We start from the raw sequence: 20,672 nt of genomic DNA, 5'->3' as shown, positions 1-20,672 counted from the left end.
GGCCAGAAGATAGTCACATGACATATGAAAGTGCTGAAGGAAAAAACGTTTTACCCTACATTAGTATATCTGGTGAAATTATTTTTCAAACATGAAGGAGAAATAACTTTCTCAAACAAACAAGCTGAAGGATTTCATTAATACTAGACCCATCCTACAAGAAATGCTAAAGAGAGTATTTTAATCAGAACAAAAAGGACATTAAAAAGCAGTAAATAATCATCTGGAGGTAGAAAACTTACTGATAACAGTAAGTACACAGAAAAAAAAACACAGAATATTATAGCACTGTAACTGTGGTGTGTAAACTATGCTTATGCTAAGTAGAAAGACTAAACAACAAACCAATAAAAAATATAAGGTATGAGGATACAAAGGCAGAGGAATGACACAATGGATTTTGGGGACTCAGGGGAAAGGGTGGGAAGAGGATGAGAGATAAAAGACAACAAATTGTGTGCAAGGTATACTGCTCAGGTGATGGGTGCACCAAAATATCACAAATCACCATTGAAGAATGTACTCGTGTAACCAACAGCACCTGTTCCCCAATAACTGATGGAAATAAAAAAAAAAATTAAAAAAAAATAACTACAACTTTTCAAGACATAGTCAACAAGATAGTACATAAATAGAAACAACAGAGAGTTAAGAAGCAGGAGGGCTAACTTATGGTGAGTATTTATTTATTTATTTATTTTTTGCTTATTTGTTTGTTTATGCAAATAGTATTGTTATTAGGTTAAAATAATGGGTTGTAGATGGAAATAAATGAACTATTTTCAAGCCCTGTGGTAACCTCAAGCCAAAAAGCACACACCAGATACAGAAAAAATAAAAATCAAGAAACTAAATCATATCACCAGAGAAAATCATTTTCATTAGAGGAAGACAGGAAGGAAAGAAAGAAAAAAGAGAAGACCACAAAATAAGCAGAAAACAAATGAAAAATGGTAGGAGTAAGTTGTTACTTATCAATAATAATATTAAATGTATTACAAATGGGCTAAACTCTCCAATCAAAATATGGAGTGACTGAATAAATAAAGAAACAAGACCCATTGATCTGTTGCCCACAGAAAACACACTTCACCTACAAAGACACACATAGACTGAAAACAAAGGGAAGAATAATAATATTTTATGCCAATGGAAATCAAAAGAGAGCAGTAGTCACTATACTTATATCAGACAAAATAGATTTCAAGACAAAAACTATAAGAAAAGTGAGTTACTATATAATGATAAAGGAATAAATTCAGCCTAAGGATATAACAATTTTAATTATATATGCACTCAACAGTGGAGCCCCAGATAGATAAAGCAAATATTACTAGAGCTAAAGGCAGAAATAGGCCCCAATACAATAATAGCTGACATTACAACTGATACTGCAGAAATTTAAAGCATCATTAGTGCCTACTATGAGCAATTATATGCCAATAAATTGGAAAACCTGGAAGAAATGAACAAATTCCTGGACAAATTCAATTTACCAAGATTGAACCAGGAAGAAATCCAAAACCTGAACAGACCAATAACAAGTAACAATACTGAAGCTGTAATAAAAAGACATCCAGTAAAGAAAAGCCAGGGATCTGATAGCTTCACTGCTGAATTCTACCAAACATTTAAAGAACTAATACCAATCCTACTCAAACTATTTCAAGAAATAGACAAGGAACCTCATTTGACAAGACCAGAATTATTCTGATACCAAAACCAAACAAATACACATCAAAAAAAAGAAAACTACAGGACAATATCTCTGGTAAATATTGATCAAAAATCCTCAACAAAATATTAGCAAACTGAATTCAACAATACATGATAAAGATCATTCATTATGACCAAGTGGGATTTATCCCTAGGATGCAGGTATGGTTCAGCATCCACAAATCAATCAACATGATACATCATATCAACAGAATGAAGAATAAAAACCATATGATCATTTCAATTGATGCTGAAAAACCATTTGATAAAATTCAACATCACTTTATAATAAAAACCCTCAAGAAATTGGGTATACAAGGAACATACCACAACATAATAAAAGCCATATACAACAGACTCACAGTCAGTATCATACTGAATGGGGAGCAACTGAAAGCCTTTCTGTCAGGCCTTTGAGCCCACGCTAAGCCATCATATCTCCTGTGACCTGCACTATACATTCGGATGGCCTGAAGTAACTGAAGAATCACTAAAGAAGTGAAAATGGCCTGTTCCTGCCTTAACTGAAGACATTACTTTGTGAAATTCCTTCTCCTGGCTCAAAAGCTCCCCCACTGAGCACCTTGTGTCCCCCGCCCGTCTGCCAGAGAACAACCCCCTTTGACTGTAATTTTCCACTACCTACCCAAATTCTATACAATGGTCCCACCCCTATCTCCCTTTACTGACTCTCTTTTTGGACTCAGCCTGCCTGCACCCAGGTGATTAAAAAGCTTTATCGCTCACACAAAGCCTGTTTGGTGGTCTCCTCACACAGACGCGTGTAACACTTTCCTCTCAGATTTGGAACATGACAAGGATGTTTACTGTCACCACTGTTATTCAATATAATACTGGAAGTACAATCATAGAGGAAAAGGTATAAAGGGCATCTAAATTGGAAAGGAAAAAGTGAAATTATCCTGCTTGCAGATGATATAATTATGTATTTGGAAAAAATGAAAAATTCAAAAAGAAAATTATTAGAACTGGTAAACAAATTCAGTAAACTTGCAGGATACAAAATCAACATACAAAAATAAGTAGCATTTCTATATAGCAACAGTGAACAATATGAAAAAGAAATTCAAAAGTAATCACAGTTACAGTAGCCACATGTAAAATTAAGTATTTAGGAATTAACCAGAGAAGTGAAAGATCTCAATAATGAAAGCTATAAAACATCGATGAAGGCAGTTAAAGATGACATCAAAACATGAAAAGATATTTTATGTTCATGGATTGGAAGAATCAATATTGTTAAAATGTCCACACTGCCAAAAGCAATCTATAGATTCAGTGCATTGCCTATCAAAATACCAATGACATTCTTCAAAGAAATAGAAGAAACAATTCTAAAATATATATAGAATGACAAAAGAAAACCCAGAATAGCCAAAGCTATCCTAAGCTAAGAGAACAAAACTGGAGGAATCATGTTACCTGACTTTAAATATACTACAGAGCTATAGTGTTGTGGGAAGACAGGGACCCTGAATGGAGGGACTGGCTGGAGCCGTGGCAGAGGAACATAAATTGTGAAGGTTTCATTTTAATATGGACATTTATCAGTTCCCAAATAATACTTTTATAATTTCTTATGCCTGTCTTTAATCTCTTAATCCTGTTATCTTCATAAACTGAGGATATACGTCACCTCAGGACCACTGTGATAATTGTGTTAACTGTACAAATTGATTATAAAACGTGTGTTTGAACAATATGAAATCAGTGCACCTTGAAAAAGAACAGAATAACAGCAATTTTTAGGGAACAAGGGAAGACAACCATAAGGTCTGACTGCCTGCAGGGTCGGGCAAAAAGAGCCATATTTTTATTCTTGCAGAGAGCCTATAAATGGACGTGCAAGTAGGCAAGATATCACTAAATTCTTTTCCTAGCAAAGAATATTAATATTAATATCCTCGGAAAGGAATGCATTCCTGCAGGAGGTCTATAAATGGCCGCTCTGGGAATGTCTGTTGTTTAAGATGTTTATCAAGGCAATACGTGCACCACTGAACATAGACCCTTATCAGTAGTTCTGCTTTTGCCCTTTGCCTTGTGATCTTTGTTGGACCCTTATCAGTAGTTCTCCTTTTCGCCCTTTGAAGCATGTCATCTACTCCCCATTCTTACATCCCTTCCCCTTTTGAAACCCTTAATAAAAAACTTGCTGGTTTGAGGCTCAGGTGGGCATCACAGTCCTACCGATATGTGATGTCACCCCTGGTGGCCCAGCTGTAAAATTCCTCTCTTTGTACTCTTTCCCTTTATTTTTCATCCAGCCAACACTTATGGAAAATAGAAAGAACCTATGTTGAAATATTGGGGACAGGTTCCCCTGATACTATAGAAAAAAAAAAACCCAGCACGGTTGACATAAAAATAGACACACAGACCAATGGAACAGAATAAAGAATCCAGAAACAAATGCACACATCTACAGTGAACTCATTTTCAACAAAAATTCCCAGAACACATACTGGAGAAAGACAGTCTCATCAATACATGGTGCTCAGAAAACTAGATATGCATAAGCAAAAGAAAAAAACTAGACCCCTATCTCTCACCATATAGAAAACTGAAATCAAAATGGATTTAAAACTTAAATTCAAGACTTCAAACTATGAAACTACTAAAGAAAACATTGGAGAATATATCCAGAACATTGGGCAGGGCAAAAATTTTTTGAGTAACAACCCAGAAGCACAGCAAACTAAGCAAAAATGGACAAATGACACCACATCAAGTTAAAAAGCTTCAGCACAGCAATGGATACAAGCATCAAAGTGAAGAGACAACCCAGAGAATGGGAGAAAATATTTACAAACTACCCATCTGACAAGGGATTAATAGCCAGAATATATAAGGAGCTCAAACATCTCTATAGGAAAAAAATTGAATAATCTGATTTTTAAAATGGGCAAAAGATTTGAATACACATTTCTGAAAAGAAGTCATATGAATGAAAAACAGGCATTTGAAAGGTGCTCTACATCATATTGATCATTAGATAAATGCAAATTAAAACTACAATGAGATATCATCTCACTCCAGTTAAAATGGCTTGCCTCCAAAAGACAGGCAATAATAAATGCTGGCAAGGATGTGGAGAAAAGAGAACCCTTATACACTGTTGTTGGGAATGTAAATTAGTATAAACACTATGGAGAACAGTTTGGTGGTTCCTCTAAAAACTGAAAATAGAGCTACCATATGATGCAGTAATTCCACTGCTGGATATATACTCCCCCAAAAAGGAAAGCAGTATATTGAATAGATATCTGCATGCACATATGTGTTGCAGCATGGTTCACAATAGCCAAGATTTGGAAGCAACCTAAGTATCCATCAACAAATGAATGGATAAAGAAAATGTGGCATGTATACCCAACGAGTCTCAATTCAGCCATAAAAAAGAATGAGACGCTGTCATTTCCAACAACATGGATGGAACTGGAGATCATCATGTTAAATGAAATAAGTCAGGTAAAGAAAGACAAACATCACACATTCTCACTTACTTGTGGCATCTAAAAACCAAAACAATTGAATTCATGCACACAGAGAGTAGAAGAATGTTAACCAGAGGCTGAGAAGGGTATTGGGTATTTCAGGGGCACTTGGGGATGCTTGATGGATACAAATAATAGATAGAAAGAATAAATAAGACCTACTATTTGATATCACAAAAGGGCGACTGTAGTAAATAATTTTTAAAAACTATTTATTAAGCTTTAAGTTCTGGGATACATGTGCAGAAAGTTCCGGTTTGTTACATATGTATACATGTGCCATGGTGGTTTGCTGCACCCATCAACCCGTCATCTAGGTTTTAAGCTCTGCATGCATTAAGTATTTGTCCTTATGCTCTCCCTCCCTACGGCCCCCACACCCCAACAGGCTCTGATGCTTAGTGTTACCCTCCCTGTGTCCATGTGTTCTCATGGTTTAACTCCCACTTATGAGTGAGAACATGCAGTGTTTGATTTTCTGTTCTTGTGTCAGTTTGCTGAGAATGATGGTTTCCAACTTCATCCATATCCCTGCAAAGGACATGAACTTGTTCTTTTTTGTGGCAGCATAGTATTCCATGGTGTATATGTGCCACATTTTCTTTATCCAGTCTATCATTGATGGGCATTTGGGTTGGTTCCAAGTCTTTCCTATTGTGAATAGCACTTCAATAAACATACAAATGCATGTGTCTGTATAGTAGAATGATTTATATTCCTTTGGGTATATACCCAGTAATAGGATTTCTGGGTCAAATGGTATTTCTGGTTCTAGATCCTTGAGGAATCACCACACTGTCTTCCACAATAGCTGAACTAATTTACACTGCCACCAACAGTGTAAAAGCATTCCTATTTCTCCACATCCTCTCCAGCATCTGTTGTTTCCTGACTTTTTAATGATCGCCATTCTAATTGGGGTGAGATGGTATCTCACTGTGGTTTTGATTTGCATTTCTCTAATGACCAGTGATGATGAGCCTTTTTTCATATATTTCTTGGCCACATAATGTCCTCTTTTGAGAAGTTCATATCCTTTGCCCACTTTTTGATGGTATTGCTTGTTTTTCTCTTGTAAATTTGTTTAAGTTCCTTGTAGATTCTGGAGATCACACCTTTGTCAGATGGATAGATTGCAAAAGTTTTCTCCTATTTGCTAGGTTGCCTCTTCACTTGTATGTTTAAAAATAACTGAAAGAGTATAAGTGGATTATTTGTAACACAAAAAAAATGTGTAAAAGGATATATACTCTATTCTCCATGATATGATTATTAATACCCAGTATTTGGTAGACAGAAGGTTTACTATAGTCAAAATAATTTAATTGTACATTTTACAATTACCAAGAAATACACTTGGATTGTTTGTATCACTAAGGATAAATGGTTGATGGGATGGATACCTCATTTTCCATGATGTGATTATAACATGTTGCATACCTATATCAAAATATCTCATGTACCCCATGTATATATATATGAATATATATGTACCCACAAGTATTAAATATATAATATATATAATATAGAGAGAGAGACTAACACATCAATAAAGACACAAATGCATGTGTCTGTATAGTAGAATAAGTATAAATATATAAAAAAATACTCTGGGGTACATATATACATATACATACATGTACATATATACACATATATACATATACATACACACACTCACATACATATATATATGTATCCACAAGTATTAAAAATAAAAATTTTAAACTTTTAAGTTCAGGGGTACATGTGAAGGTTGTGCAGGTTTGTTACATAGGTAAACGTGTGTCAAGGGGGTTTGCTGTACAGATTATGTCACCAGCCAGGCATTAAGCCCAGATTTCATTAGTTATTTTTTTGATATTCTCCCTCCTCCCACCCTCCATCCTCCAATAGGTCCCAGTGTGTGCTGTTCCCAACTAAGTGTCCATATATTCTCATCATTTAGCTCCCACTTATAAGTGAGAACCTTGTAGTATTTAGTTTTCTGTCTCTCCATTAGTTTGCTAAGGATGACGGCCTCCTGCTCTATCCATGTTGCTGCAAAGGACACGGTATCATTCCTTTCTATGACTGTATAGTATTCCATGGTGTATATGTACTGCATTTTCATTATCCAGTCTATTATTGATGAGCATTTAGGTTGATTCCATGTTTTTGCTATGTGATTAATGCTGTAATGAACATACACATGTATGTGTCTTCATAATAGAACAATTTACATTCCTTTGGGTATACCCTCAGTAATTGGATTGCTGGGTCAAAAGGTATTTCTGTTCTTATGTCTTTGAGAAATCACCACACTGTCTTCCACAGTGGTAGAGCCAGTTTACACTCCCATCAACACTGTCTAAGTGTTCCATTTTTCTCCACAACCTCACTAGCATATATTATTCTTTGACTTTTTAATAATAGCCATTCTGACTGGTGTGAGACGGTATGTCATTGTGGTTTTGATTTGCATTTCTCTAATGATCAGTGATGTTGAGCTTTTTTTGATATGTTTTTTGGCCACATAAATGTCTTCTTTTAGAAGTGTCTGTTCATATCGTTCACCCACATTTTGATAGGGTTTTTTTTTTTCTTGTAAATTTGTTTATGTTCATTATAGATGCTGGATGTTAGATCTTTGTCGGATGCACACACTGCAAAAATTTTCTCACATTCTTAGGTTGTTTGTTTACCCCATGTTGATAGTTTCTTTTGCTCTGCAGAAGCTCTTTAGTTTAATTAGATCCCATTGGTCAATTTGTGCTTTTGTTGCAATCAGTTTTGGTATCTTTGTCATGAAATCTTTGCCCATGCCTATGTCCTGAATTGTATTGCCTAGGTATTCTTCTAAGGTTTCTATAGTTTTGGGTTTTACATTTAACTCTTTAATTTATCTTGAGTTTATTTTGGTATATGGTGTAAGGAAGAAGTTCAGTTTCAATTTTCTGCATAAGGCTAGCCAGTTCTCTTAACACCGCTTTTTAAATAAAGAATCCTTTCCCCATTGCTTGTTTTGTTGAAGACCAGATGGTTGTAGGTATGTGGTCTTATTTCTAGGTTCTCTATTATGTTCCATTGGTCTATGTATCTGTTCTTGTACCAGTACCATGCTGTTTTGGTTAATGTAGCCCTGTAGTATAGTTTGAAGTAGGGTAGCATGATGGCTCTATCTTTGTTCTTTCTGCTTGGGATGGCCTTGGCTATTCAGGCTCTTTTTCCATATGAATTGTTCCATATGAATTCTAAAACAGTTTTTTCTAGTTCTCTGATGAATCTAATGATAGGAATAGCATTGAATCTATAAATTGCTTTGGGCGTTTAGGCCATTTTAATGATACTGGTTCTTCCTATCCATGAGCATGAAATGTCTTTCCATTTGTATGAGTCATCTCTGATTTTTTTGAGAAGGGTTTTGTAGTTCTACTTGTAGAGATCTTTCTGTTATGCATGCCCGTGTGAGACCATCTGAGCAGGCTTAGTGAGAGCAACAAGTCTGTTTATTCACTTGGGTGCGAGTGGGCTGAGTCTGAGAAAGAAGTCAGCAAAGAGTGGTGGGATTATCATTGATTCTTATAGGTTTGGGATAGGCGGTGGAGTCAGGAGCAATTTATTGCTGGCAGTGGATGGATGTTACAAAATACATTCTCAAGGGTGGGGAGGATGTTACAAAGTACATTCACAAGGGCAAGGAGGGTGTATTGTCAGAAGGGTGGGGAGGATGTTACAAAGTACCTTCACAAGGGCACGGAGGATGTATTGTCATAAGGGCGGGAAGGAATGTTACAAAGTACATGCACTGGACAGGGAATATCACAAAGTACATTATCACAACGGTGGGGGGAATGTCATGATGGCTTGACCACGGTGCAGCCAGATCAAAGGACCTTACATTTCTGTTTTTTAATGTTAATAAGGAAGACATAAAACAAGAAAGAGTAGTGAAAACTTGGGGTGAAAATTTTGGGGGTTGTATGGAGGGGTGATGGGTGATGTTTCTCAGGGCTGCTTTGAGCAGGATTAGAGGTGGCACGGGAACCTTAAGTGGGAGAGATTAGACTTAAGTAATACTTTGGGGTAAGGGGTGATATTGTGGGATTGTTAAAAGCAGCATTTGTTGTATAGAGTAATGAGTGATAGCCTTGATGCGGTTTCGTAGGAATTGAGAGATTAATTGGAAGACACAAAGCCTGAATAAGAGAAGGAGGAGGATAGGTATTGAGGACTAATGATTGGAAGAAGCCAGGATACCCAGTTAGAGAGTGGCCAGGTGGGTCCAGTGTAATTAGTTGCCTGATTAGCAAGTTTTTGAGCTCTGTCTTTGAGTTTTTTGATGTTATCATATACCAGGCCAGATTGATTTAAGTAAAAACAACACTCCTCTTTAAGAAATATACAGAGTCCTCCTTTTTCAGCAGTGAGTAAATCGAGGCCTTGGTGGTTCTGAAGGACAACTGTAGCTAAAGAGTCAACCTGAGCTTGGAGGACAGATAAAGTTTGTGATATATCTGTAATGCTAGCAGAGAAGTCATAAGAGAGGCTGCAGAATGTTGTGACAGAGGTTGAGACACCTGCTATTCCAGTTCCAAGTGCAATAGTGAAGGCACAAAGTCCTAGACCCACAAGTAAAGGGATTAGTGGGATGACTCTTTTTTGTCATGTTGGTGTCATGAGGAGGACAAGCAGTTGTTCATTCCCATCTGCAAGCTGGATTTTGGGGGTAAGGAAGATTAGAGTACATGTGCCTGTCCACTTGACAGGTAGGCACATGTAGGTGGAAGAGCCACATAAAAAAAAGAGATGTTGTGTCAGGCAGAACTGGAAATGTAAAGTAAAAAGGTGACAGGGTGTACTGAAAGAGGAGTCCTGCACCCCAAATCCTAAAGATCCAGCAAGGACAGCAGCCGTTAGCGGTTGTAAGGGGATTGATGGTGCAACTGCATAGAGGGAGAGGTTCAGTTCTCATGGAATAAGAGAAAGCACATAGTGTCTACAAGTAAGCTTTCACTGCTATTCATGGGTCTGGGTATAAGCAAGCAAGAGGAGGGGCCAGGAGGAGAGACAGATGAGCAGCGGGACGGTAGCCAAGGATGCACGGTAGGTGTCTTCCTAAACAGTAGTGACTGCCAATGTTTTTTAGTTTGTCAATAATGATAGAGGGCTTATCAGTAATGCAAAGTTGGAATGCTCCCATCTGGTAATGTGTGGCTGGAGATAAAGAGTAAAGGAATATTTAGACGGTGGAAGGTTGCCTAAAGGGATTCCAGCAGGCTGTTGTCAGGAGATGCATAAAGAAGCAGCAACAGGGATAGTTGTTTGTGTGGTTAGGGGTCCAAATATGGGGAGGGGGAGTGGAATTGATGTAGGAGAAAGGTGCCATGAGTAGATGTGGAGAAGTGTGGCAGCTTGTTGGTGCAAAATGTCTGGGGAGTTCTCACCAAATCTGTCTAGAAAGTAAAGAAGTTCCTCAGGTGGGTAAAGATGAGGGCTATTAAAGGAGGTTTGGAGGTGCAGGGAGACAGGAGAGGTAGCCCAGTTGACCCATGGAGTGGGGATGGCTGTGTAACAGCAGGAAGAAAGGGAAACGCATAGCCAACAATTCTTTGCTAGAGAAGGATTGGAGGAAGTGAGGAGAGAGTGGGTGAGATTTACAGTATGCTGGAGGTAACTAGGGAGAGGTAGAGAGTGACTGGAGAATGGGGGCAAGGATAAGAGTGAGTAGAAAAGTAAAAAAAACTAAAAAAGGACTTCATCAGGATAGAAGAATTGGAGTGTACCTTGCCACTGAAGATCTTCTATTCACTCCAAGAGAGAGTTAAGGGTGGCAGTTTGAGGTAAAACCAGGAGATTTCAGTTATGATGGTTTGGAGGAAAAGTGTAAACCAGCAGTGTAAACCACGGCAGGGCATTTACGAGTAGTTGAGAATGGTGAATAGGAGTATAACTAGACAGAAGATAGTAGGGATGACAGGTTTATGGGGCACAGTCCAAGAAGTGGGGACTGACCACGTAAAGCCCTGTTGCAAAAAGTAGGGTAAGGATGAATAGACCTAATAGAATGAAGATCCTGAACCAACCTGTAAGATGTACACATATGAAACAAACCTGCACGTTGTGCACATGTACCCTAAAACTTAAAGTATAATAATAATAATAATAATAATAAAAGAAATTAAAAAAAAGATTTGTCCAATTTCTGGACAGGTAGGATAGGGGAGTTGTAAGGAGAATTTGTAGGCTTTAAAAGGCCATGCTGTAACAGGGGAACAGTAACAGGCTTTAGTCCTCTTAAAGCCTGTTGTGGGATGGGGTACTGACGTTGAGCTGGGTAAGGGTGATTAGGTTTTAATGGGATGGTAAGTGATACCTGATTGGTCACCAGGCAGGGAGTAGAGGATCCCATACGTGTGGATTAAGGTAGGGATACACGAGAGGAGAATTCAAAGGAGGCCTTGAATCAGGCAAAAGGGCAGCAATGAGGTGTGGCTGTAGTCCAGGAATAGTCAGGGAAGCAGATAATTCAGTTAAAACGTCTCAGCCTAATAAGGGAACTGGGCAGGTGGAGATAACTAAAAAAAAGTGCATAAAAGAATGTTGTCCAAGTTGGCACCAGAGTTGGGGAGTTTTAAAGGGTGTAGAAGCCTGGCCATCAATAACCACAACAGTTACGGGGGCAAGGAAAACAGGCCTTTGAAAAGAAGGTAATGTGGAGTGGGTAGCCCCCATATCGATTAAACAGGGGATGGACTTACCCTCCACTATAAGAGTTACCCGGAGCTTGGTGTCCGTGATGGTCCAGGGGGCTTCCAAAGTTATTGGGCAGTGTCAGTCTTCAGCTACTAAGCTGAGGAGATCTGGGAAGGAATCGGCCAAGGAAAGTTGGGTTTGAGCTCCAGGAGCTTTAGAAGCAGCGGAAATGTGAGTCAGACAGTCCAACTTCCAGTGGGCCCCGCACAGACAGGGCGTGGCTTAGGAGGAATCCCGGGCTGCGGGCATTCTGAGGCCCAGTGGCCAGGATTTTGGCATTTGAAGCAAGGTCCATGAGGAGGTTTTGAAGGAACCCCTGGGAGCTGTGGTTTAGATGTTCTGAAGGTTTTGTATGCTGGAGACGTGACTGTGGGTTGTCTTACAGCGGAGGCAAGTAGCTGTAACTGAGAGATATGTTGCCGCTTGGTGGCTTCTTCTCTGTTATTGAACACCTTGAAGGCAAAGTTGATTAAATCCTGTTGTAAGGTTTGAGGGCCGGAATCCAACTTTTGGAGTTTTTTTCTAATGTCAGGAGAGAATTGGGTGACAAAATGCATATTAAGGATAAGGTGGCCTTCTGACCCCTCTGGGTCTAGGGCTGTAAAACGTCTAAGGGTAGCTGCTAAGTGGCCATGAATTGGGCTGGGTTTTCATCTTTACCTGGGGTAATTTCCTTCAGCTTGTCATAATTAACTGCTTTCTATGCTGCCTTTCTGAGCCCCTCGACTAGGCAGGAGACCATGTAATCTAGCCTACCTATACCTGGTGAGTCCGTCTGGTATTGCCAATGGAGATCCTCTCGGGGAACTGCCCTGGTGCCCTCTTGGAGGCCTGGCTCATGAAGCCAGCAGGTGTCTGAGTAGGACTGGGCTAGAAAATGAACTCTTTCTCGTTCATACGGGGAGAGGGTAGAGGTCAGGATGACATTTAAGTCACTCCAGGTTAAACTGTAGGACTGAGTTAGATATTGGAATTCCTATATATATTTAGTGGGGTCTGATGAGAAAGAGCCTAAACGCTGGCTGATATGGGAAAGGTCTGACAGAGAAAAAGGCACATATGCCCTGACTATGCCTTCAGCTCCAGTCACCTCTCTAAGAGGAAATTGTTGGGCAGGTTGCGGGGAGCTAGTCGTGGAATGAAACTGTAAGCCAGACTCGGTGTGAGGAGGGGAGGTAATAGAAGGGTTATAGGATGGTGGAGTGGAGGCTGCGGAAGAATTGGCACCTGATTCAGCCTGGGAAGGAGCGGCCAGGGGAGGAAGAGAGAGGTCAGAGGGGTCAGTAGAAAAGGAGGATTCAGAGGACTCTGAGCTTGGGGTGGAGACCGAAGGAGCGAACGGGAAAGAAAGAAGGAAAATCTGGGAGGAGTTGCACTGGGAGCAGAGACTAGGGAGGGAATGAAGTGTAAAAAAATGCCTGGACATAAGGTACCTCAGATCATTTGCCCAGTTGTCGACAAAAATTATCTAGGTCTTGTAGGATAGACAAATTGAAAGTGCCATTCTGTGGCCACTTGGAACTATTGTCGAGTTTGTATTGGGGTCAAGCAGTATTACAGAAGAAAATAAGACATTTAGGTTTTAAGTCAGGTGTTAGTTGAAGGGGTTTTAGGTTTTTAAGAACACAGGCTAAGGTGGAAGAGGGAGGAATGGATGGTGGAAGGTTGCCCATAGAGGAGAAGGTAAGTTTAAAGAGGAAGGTAGAGACATGGAGAAATGGAGGTGGGAAGCTACCAGGCTTCCAGTAGGCACCCCTGACTGAGTCCTGGGCTGTAATGTGGGTGAGCAGCCAAAGCAGGCGTCCTTGCGATTGACCTGCCACCAAGGGAAGGTGGGTGAATGACCACAGCAGGCGTCACCGCGGTGATCAGACACCAAGGGAAGACTGTCTTCCCATGTCCGTGACCGACGTCGGAGTTTTTGAATGCACGGATAAAATGTGTCTCCTTTTGTCTCTACCAGGAAGGGAGAGAAACTGAAATTGAAAGGAGAGAGATTTAAGGGAGGCAAGAGAGGTTAGGTAGAGAGCGAAAAACCACTTACCCAATTGCGAAAACCCGCTTACTGATTTGAAATTGGTGAGATGGTCCTTGGGCTGGCTGGTCTGATGACCCGAGGTCACAGGTGGATCTCCTCACGGTGGGAGCACGAGGACAGGGGACTGCTCTCCCGTAGGAGTTCCCCTGTCACGGGTCTTCGACACCAAATGTTACCCGTGTCTGTATAAGGGACCACCTGAGCAGGCTTAGTGTGAGCAACAAGGCTGTTTATTCACTTGGGTGCAAGTGGGCTGAGTCTGAGAAAGGAGTCAGCCAAGGGTGGTGGGATTATCGTTGGTTCTTATAGGTTTGTGATAGGCAGTGGAGTCAGGAGCAATTTTTTGCTGGCAGTGGATGGATGTTACAAAATACATTCTCAAGGGCGGGGAGGGTGATACAAAGTACATTCACGTGGGGAGAGGATGTATCGTCACCAGGGTCGGGGGGGAAAGTTACAAAGTACATTCACAAGGATGGGGGAGGGTGTATTGTCACAAGGGCAGGGAGGAATGTTAGTTACAAAGTACATTCACAAAGATGGGGAATATCACAAAGTATATTATCACAAGGGTGGGGGAATGTCGTGATGGCTTGATCATGGTGCGGCCAGCTCAGAGGAACTTACACTTTCACCTCCCTGGTTAGCTGTGTTCTTAGGTATTTTATTCTTTTTGTGGCAATTGTGAATGGGATTGCATTCCTGATTTGGCTCTTGGCTTGACTGTTTTTGGTGTATAGAAATGTTAGTGATTTTTTAGGTGTATAAATATATAAAATATATAAAACATATAAAAATAAAAATAAAAAATAAAAATTTAAGTAAAAGGATGTAAGTACAACAAAATTTATAAAGATTTAAACTTTGTTTTATAATTTATTTATAAACTATTTATAATTGTTTTTAAATTATGTTTTATAATGTGCCTGCATAAAAATATCCTCCCAAATCTCTATGGTAATTTATACCCTTAGAGGTTCACAAAGCTAAATTAAATGATCAACATTCATTGAATACCTGGCTGATTTCCAAATAAGACAAAATGTTAAAACATTAATTTCTGAAAATAGGCTTATCTGCTTTGGGCTTCCTATTACATAGGAAATAAAAATATTTGAGGTCACTAGCAAACATATTTCATTGCTACAGTGAGAAATTGTGCTGTGAAGAAACATATGCTTCTACAAATTATAAAATGGTGTATTCATAGGTTTCCCCATCTACAGATTTTGGATGTGATATGTACTAGGCAATCACTTATATCCAAGAAAATAAAGCTGCTGAGAATTGAGAGTTCTAGTTAACGTGTGGTAATTAAAACTTCTAAACAGCATAAGAAAAATAACTCTGTATGCAAAGTATCCAAGTAAAGTGAAAAATGTTATTGATAAGAAAACCACCAGGTATGAGGACATATATTTAAAAAAAAAAGAAAAGTGGAGTAATTTTGTCTAGTTTGGATGGTACCTAAAAGTTGTTTCAGGATAGATGATGAAGGACAAAAACCAAATGGGTACAGAGAGTTGGAAGAGAAAGAGAATCTTTTGCAGTTAAGTTACCGGAATTCAAGTTATTATGAGTGTTTAAAATGAGTCTTAATATTAAAATTAAACTAATAAAAACTATAATTTGGTCTTCTTAATTAAAATGGCAAGGTTTTAACAATGTGTTGGTCTGCTCTTATTAGACACTGGTTAAGTTTTCTCATGACCCTTTAAGTACATGGACTGTGAAATGAAAAGAATGTATGTTTTGTCAAGATGATGTTTTGTGATCCATATTGTCTTTAGCTGGTATTTGATTCCTTAAGAAAACTGAGTTTTCTCAATATTAAAAGATTTAACTTTTTTTCAATAACATCACTTTTTCTATTTACTTTGAAATCTTTTGTCATTTTAGTATTCTTTCAGTAACCAGTGCCTATACTTAACCAATTATTTAAATCATTTGATAGTTTTAACAAACTTCCCAAAATAAAACTGTAAATTAAATCTTTTTTGACCTCAATTAACTTTGAGATTTCCCAGATGAGCCTCTAGAATGTCGAAAGAGAATTTTCATTATCTGTTACAAAAAGAGAGATGTTAAGCTAATGAGGCTTATATAATATGTGAAATTGAGAAGTATTGTCCAATTAAAGCAATCAAGGGAACAAAGAATGTGAGAACTCATCAATTATCATGAGAATGGCATTACCATTCATTAGGAATTCTAGCTCTTGACCCACACACCTCTATTCTGTTTCACCTCCAACATTTGATTCAGATTTCAACATGAGATTTGAATGGGTCCCTCAAATCAAACTACAGAAAATTTCTCAAGAGAAACTGGCCTGATATCTGCTCACACCTTTCCAACCTTACTGACTGAGAGGAAGGTCACTTTCTAGAAGGCCCAGGAAACTGAAAAAACTTTTTAGGACTTCTTTTGAGTATAAGGGAATTTACCTAAATCTATGGAAGTTGCAGGTCAAAACAGATGCTATGTCTTTGCATGACATCATAGCCTGGAGAGAATATTAAAGTCTAATATGAGATTATTTATTAAAGGTCCTAACTTGGCCAAATTAAAAAGATATGATCAGTCACTATTTTTACTGCACTTATGTAAATACTCAGTTGAAGTTTAATGAGAGTAGACTTATTTTGTAAAGAAATTAGTCTTTCTATAATTATGTTTGGTAGAAATGAAGGGAACTGTAGAGGAAAAAATAATGTTTCAGTAGAAAAGTATAGTGCGCCCACTGTTAAATTCTTGTTCTCTCCATTGTCTTTGAGGTTTTATTATCTACCTATAAATTGCCCTATTCCTGAAGCCCTACAAGCTAGGGCTGGGCAACTGGATGTAAACTATAGAGGACAATCTTTATGAATGTAGCTGACTTGTCTGCTCAGGTAGTTGACCAATGACGTAAACAGAGACATTCAGACTGCAAACTAGAAAAATCATCATATTGCAACTGCCACTTTATTTCATCATCTAAAGACGCTTTGAGCTTAAATTTAAAAGTCTTCTCAAATAACTGCCCTCAGGGCTCAGATACTAAGTTTATAGATTGTTATAACCATTGATCTTTTGTTTTTATTGGGTTTATTTCAGTTGGTTCGTGCACACTTTGGCTATGGAGTATATCCCCATTCTCTTGGGACTATCACTGTGACTATTATCATTGTAATCTTCCTGGAGTGCTGTAGTCTCTCAAGAGTCTTAAATGTGAGTTCATAGCCATCACAGTATGCCAGGTTTCCTCACTGTGATTAGAATGACAACAACAAAGAAAAAATAGTAAAAGAAACACTTCTGCAAGAGACCGGACATTATGACATGAGTTCCATGTTGACACAAAGCTAAACCAGCTGTGCTCGTCACAGAAAGTGGCCCATGTGCCTAAGTTTTAGTCAATATCCCATAACTGGGAGCCTAACCAAAAGGGAAAAAATAGCTAAAATAGTTAAATAAAAGGATATTGGGCTGAGGTGGGTGCAGCAAAGTGGGTTCCTGCCTAAGCAAACAGAAATCCAACTCAGTGTAAATGGTAAAACAAAAATTAACTTAAAACAACCACCAACTCACCTCTAACTATTAAACTTCCACATGATCCAAATCATGCCACTGCTTCACTTTAGCCAATAAAATATTTCTTTTTGCCTTACTTTCTCATTTACCCTATAACAGCTTCTTTTCTTTCCTCTTCAGGAAAGCACCAAAGCACCTGCAGTCTGGTGGTACCAAATAAATCAGTTTCCTCAAATAAACTCTGAATTTTAATGCCACTACTTTATACATGTGTATATATACATATATTAGATGACTATACATACACATAAAAAAATGTATATTTACACACACACAGATATAGATACCTAAACCATATATGCATATAATTTGGTAGCAATGACAGTCCTACAAAAGAAACTGAAGAGCTACATAAATATTAGAGTTATGTTAGCAAAAAACCGATCTGATGGCAATGTTAAGGGAATGAATGAGTACTAGAAGAATGGAGAAAATAAGTAACCAGAGATTTGCAAAACAATACATGAGTAGTTTTTAGGTAAAGGCCTCATGGTATCAGTGAGAATGTAAACAAAATTTCAGTGATGAAAGATGAAGGGCAGAGTGGACTGCTAGATGGATGACTCATGCACTTCAAGAGTATGAGGTTTGAAGAAGGCTAACAAGCAAGGACTTTTTGAGGCAGAAATATACAAACTTCCTCATTTTCATGTTTTTTCCCTTCACTCACTAGGCACTATGATGTCAGATCATCTGATCATTATTTGAACTTTGGTAATAAGAATTTAAAGTCTCTGGTTGTCAAAAAATCATTCCAATAATCTTGCAACATCACTGAATATTAAAAATCTCATAGCTTCATTTTTTTTTCTGGGAAGATTAAGGCCATTTTGTTCTTATTATGCCACTTATCTTTTCTTCTCAATGCCTACTTCAGCTTAGTTCTTCTAGTTCATCTTTTAATTTTCTGAATTAAGGGAGCTTTTCAGATTATCTAAATACATACAGCCACAGCTGGAAAAGGCATTAGAAACCATTGTAGAAAGTTAGAGGCAACTTACCTCTTCTTACTTTTGCAAGCACACTACGTAAAGAGTACCCTTTTAGGCTTTGGCAAGATCTTCACTGTTAACTCCCTTCTCAGTTTTTCTCCTCATTGCATTTCCATTTTTGTTTATTTCTTTACCTGATATGTGAGTTGATTTTCTACAAGAAGTAGAATTCACTCTTTCCCAATGAAGTGGAATAAAAGATCCCTTGATGGCTAGCAGAATTCTTGGGATTTACCTCTGTTCACCAAAACACAAATCTACTTTCACAACAGAGTTAAATGTGTTGAGTGTCTCAGGTAATATAGTTGTATTAGTATCAAAATCATCATACTCAAGTCCTTATCAGATGACATAGACTATCTTAGCATTTAATGCATTTATAAAGCCACATTGAATAACATAAACACTGTAAAATATTTTTATTTGCTTTCTGCTGACATTATTTGATTATGATATGAACATGACTAAAAATTTTTAAATGCCGTTGAATAACATTAGGAGTGTATTTATTAGTTTACTAGATATTAACACCTTAGGTCCTTAAAGTGCTAGGACTTTGCAAAATCTTTGAATGCTAGCAAAACACAGATACCTTTAACTTGAACAATCTTGGGAAAATTTTAGTAAACAGAGAACAGAGATTGTATGAGATCTAAACATTTCTTTTGAACATTTTTGTGAATGAAGCTATTACTTGCTTGTTTCTCAGGCTGTAGATCATGGAATTTAATAAAGGAACGATGACAGTGTAAAATAGAGACTCCATCATATCTTGGTCATCTGCTTGCGGGGATGCAGAGCCCACATACATGAAGACAAGGGGCCCATAGTATAAAGATACAGATAAGAGATGAGCTCCACAGGTGGAGACAGCTTTTTGTATCCCTTTGACAGACTTATTTTTTAAGATTATAAGGAGGACAAGTGTATAAGATATAAGAATAGTTCCAATGGTAAAAACTTGAATTGAATCTGCGAAAATAAAAACCATTAGAAAGTTAATAAAAGAATCAGTACAGGAAATCTTTAACAATGGGATAATGTCACAGTAAAAGTGTTGTATTATGTTGGAATTACAGAAGGTTAATCTGAATAAAAAAATTTCATGGATTAAAGCATGAAGAAGGCCACCTATAAATGACAAGACTAATAGCTGGATGCATAGTCCGTTGGTCATAATGACTGGATAAAGTAAAGCTTTGCAAATGGCTACATAGCGATCATATGCCATTGATGCCGAGATAAAACATTCTGTGGTTACACTGATTACAAAGGAAAAAAATTGTACCATGCATTCAGAGAGAGATATCATCTTACTCTTAGCTAAGAAGTTGATCAGCATCTTTGGAGTCACTGTGGATGATAACCAAGCATCCACAAAGGCCAAACTCCCACGGAATAAATACATTGGGATATGAAGGTGAGGGTCTTTCCAGATGAGAACAATTAGACCAAGATTCCCCATGATGGTGATGAGCTATATTACCAAGAATGCCAGGAACAGGGGTATTTTCCACTGTGGTTGATATAAAAATCCTGTGAGAACAAACTCTGTCAGCAATGTTGTATTTTCCTCCTCCATGTCCTCACTGCATGTCCTCTAAAAAATGAAATAAATGTAAAGGAACACTTGGAATGGAGTTGTGAGTTGAAACTGGGGATAAAGTGTTGAAATAAACTATGTAATTATCAGAGCCCTCTTAATTTTTTTATCAGTACTCTAATTGATGTGCCCTCTATTTGAGCATTTAAATACATGGAAAAATAATACATTTTGGTTTGAAAATTGTGTAGGACTTAACAGGTTGAGATTTAAAAAAATGCATTATCTAAATGTACTAATTTTTTGTGGACTCTACCGAATGTAATAGAAAAACCTTCTGTCTGGGACATGGATGTAGGGTGAAGGAAAAAAGATATTTGAAAGGCCTGTGTAAAAATGGAATGAATGTAATGTGAAGAATCTCAAACTTTATTCTTCACATGATAAACATGCACCAAATATTTTAAAATGGGAAATGGCATATATATATATTTTTTTCTTTGTTTTTTTTGAGACAGAGCTTTGCTTTTGTTGCCCAGGCTGGAGTGCAATGG

At 37.9% G+C, this 20,672-nt stretch overlaps 1 pseudogene, besides 1 other annotated feature; it reads right to left on the bottom strand.

The window, feature by feature from the left end:
* Positions 15,799 to 16,494: an enhancer, noted in NCBI's record as "OCT4-NANOG hESC enhancer chr3:97960859-97961554 (GRCh37/hg19 assembly coordinates)". NCBI's record gives its function as "activates a minimal SCP1, AML or CMV promoter by ChIP-STARR-seq in naive H9 embryonic stem cells {active_cell/tissue: H9 hESC(naive)}" and the evidence as "EXISTENCE:reporter gene assay evidence [ECO:0000049][PMID:30033119]".
* OR5H7P (olfactory receptor family 5 subfamily H member 7 pseudogene) lies at positions 19,231 to 20,157 on the bottom strand (annotated as a pseudogene).

The sequence above is a fragment of the Homo sapiens genome, chromosome 3 (assembly GCF_000001405.40).
Source record: "Homo sapiens chromosome 3, GRCh38.p14 Primary Assembly".
NCBI lineage: Eukaryota > Metazoa > Chordata > Mammalia > Primates > Hominidae > Homo > Homo sapiens.
This window is presented reverse-complemented; position numbering and strand designations above follow the sequence as displayed.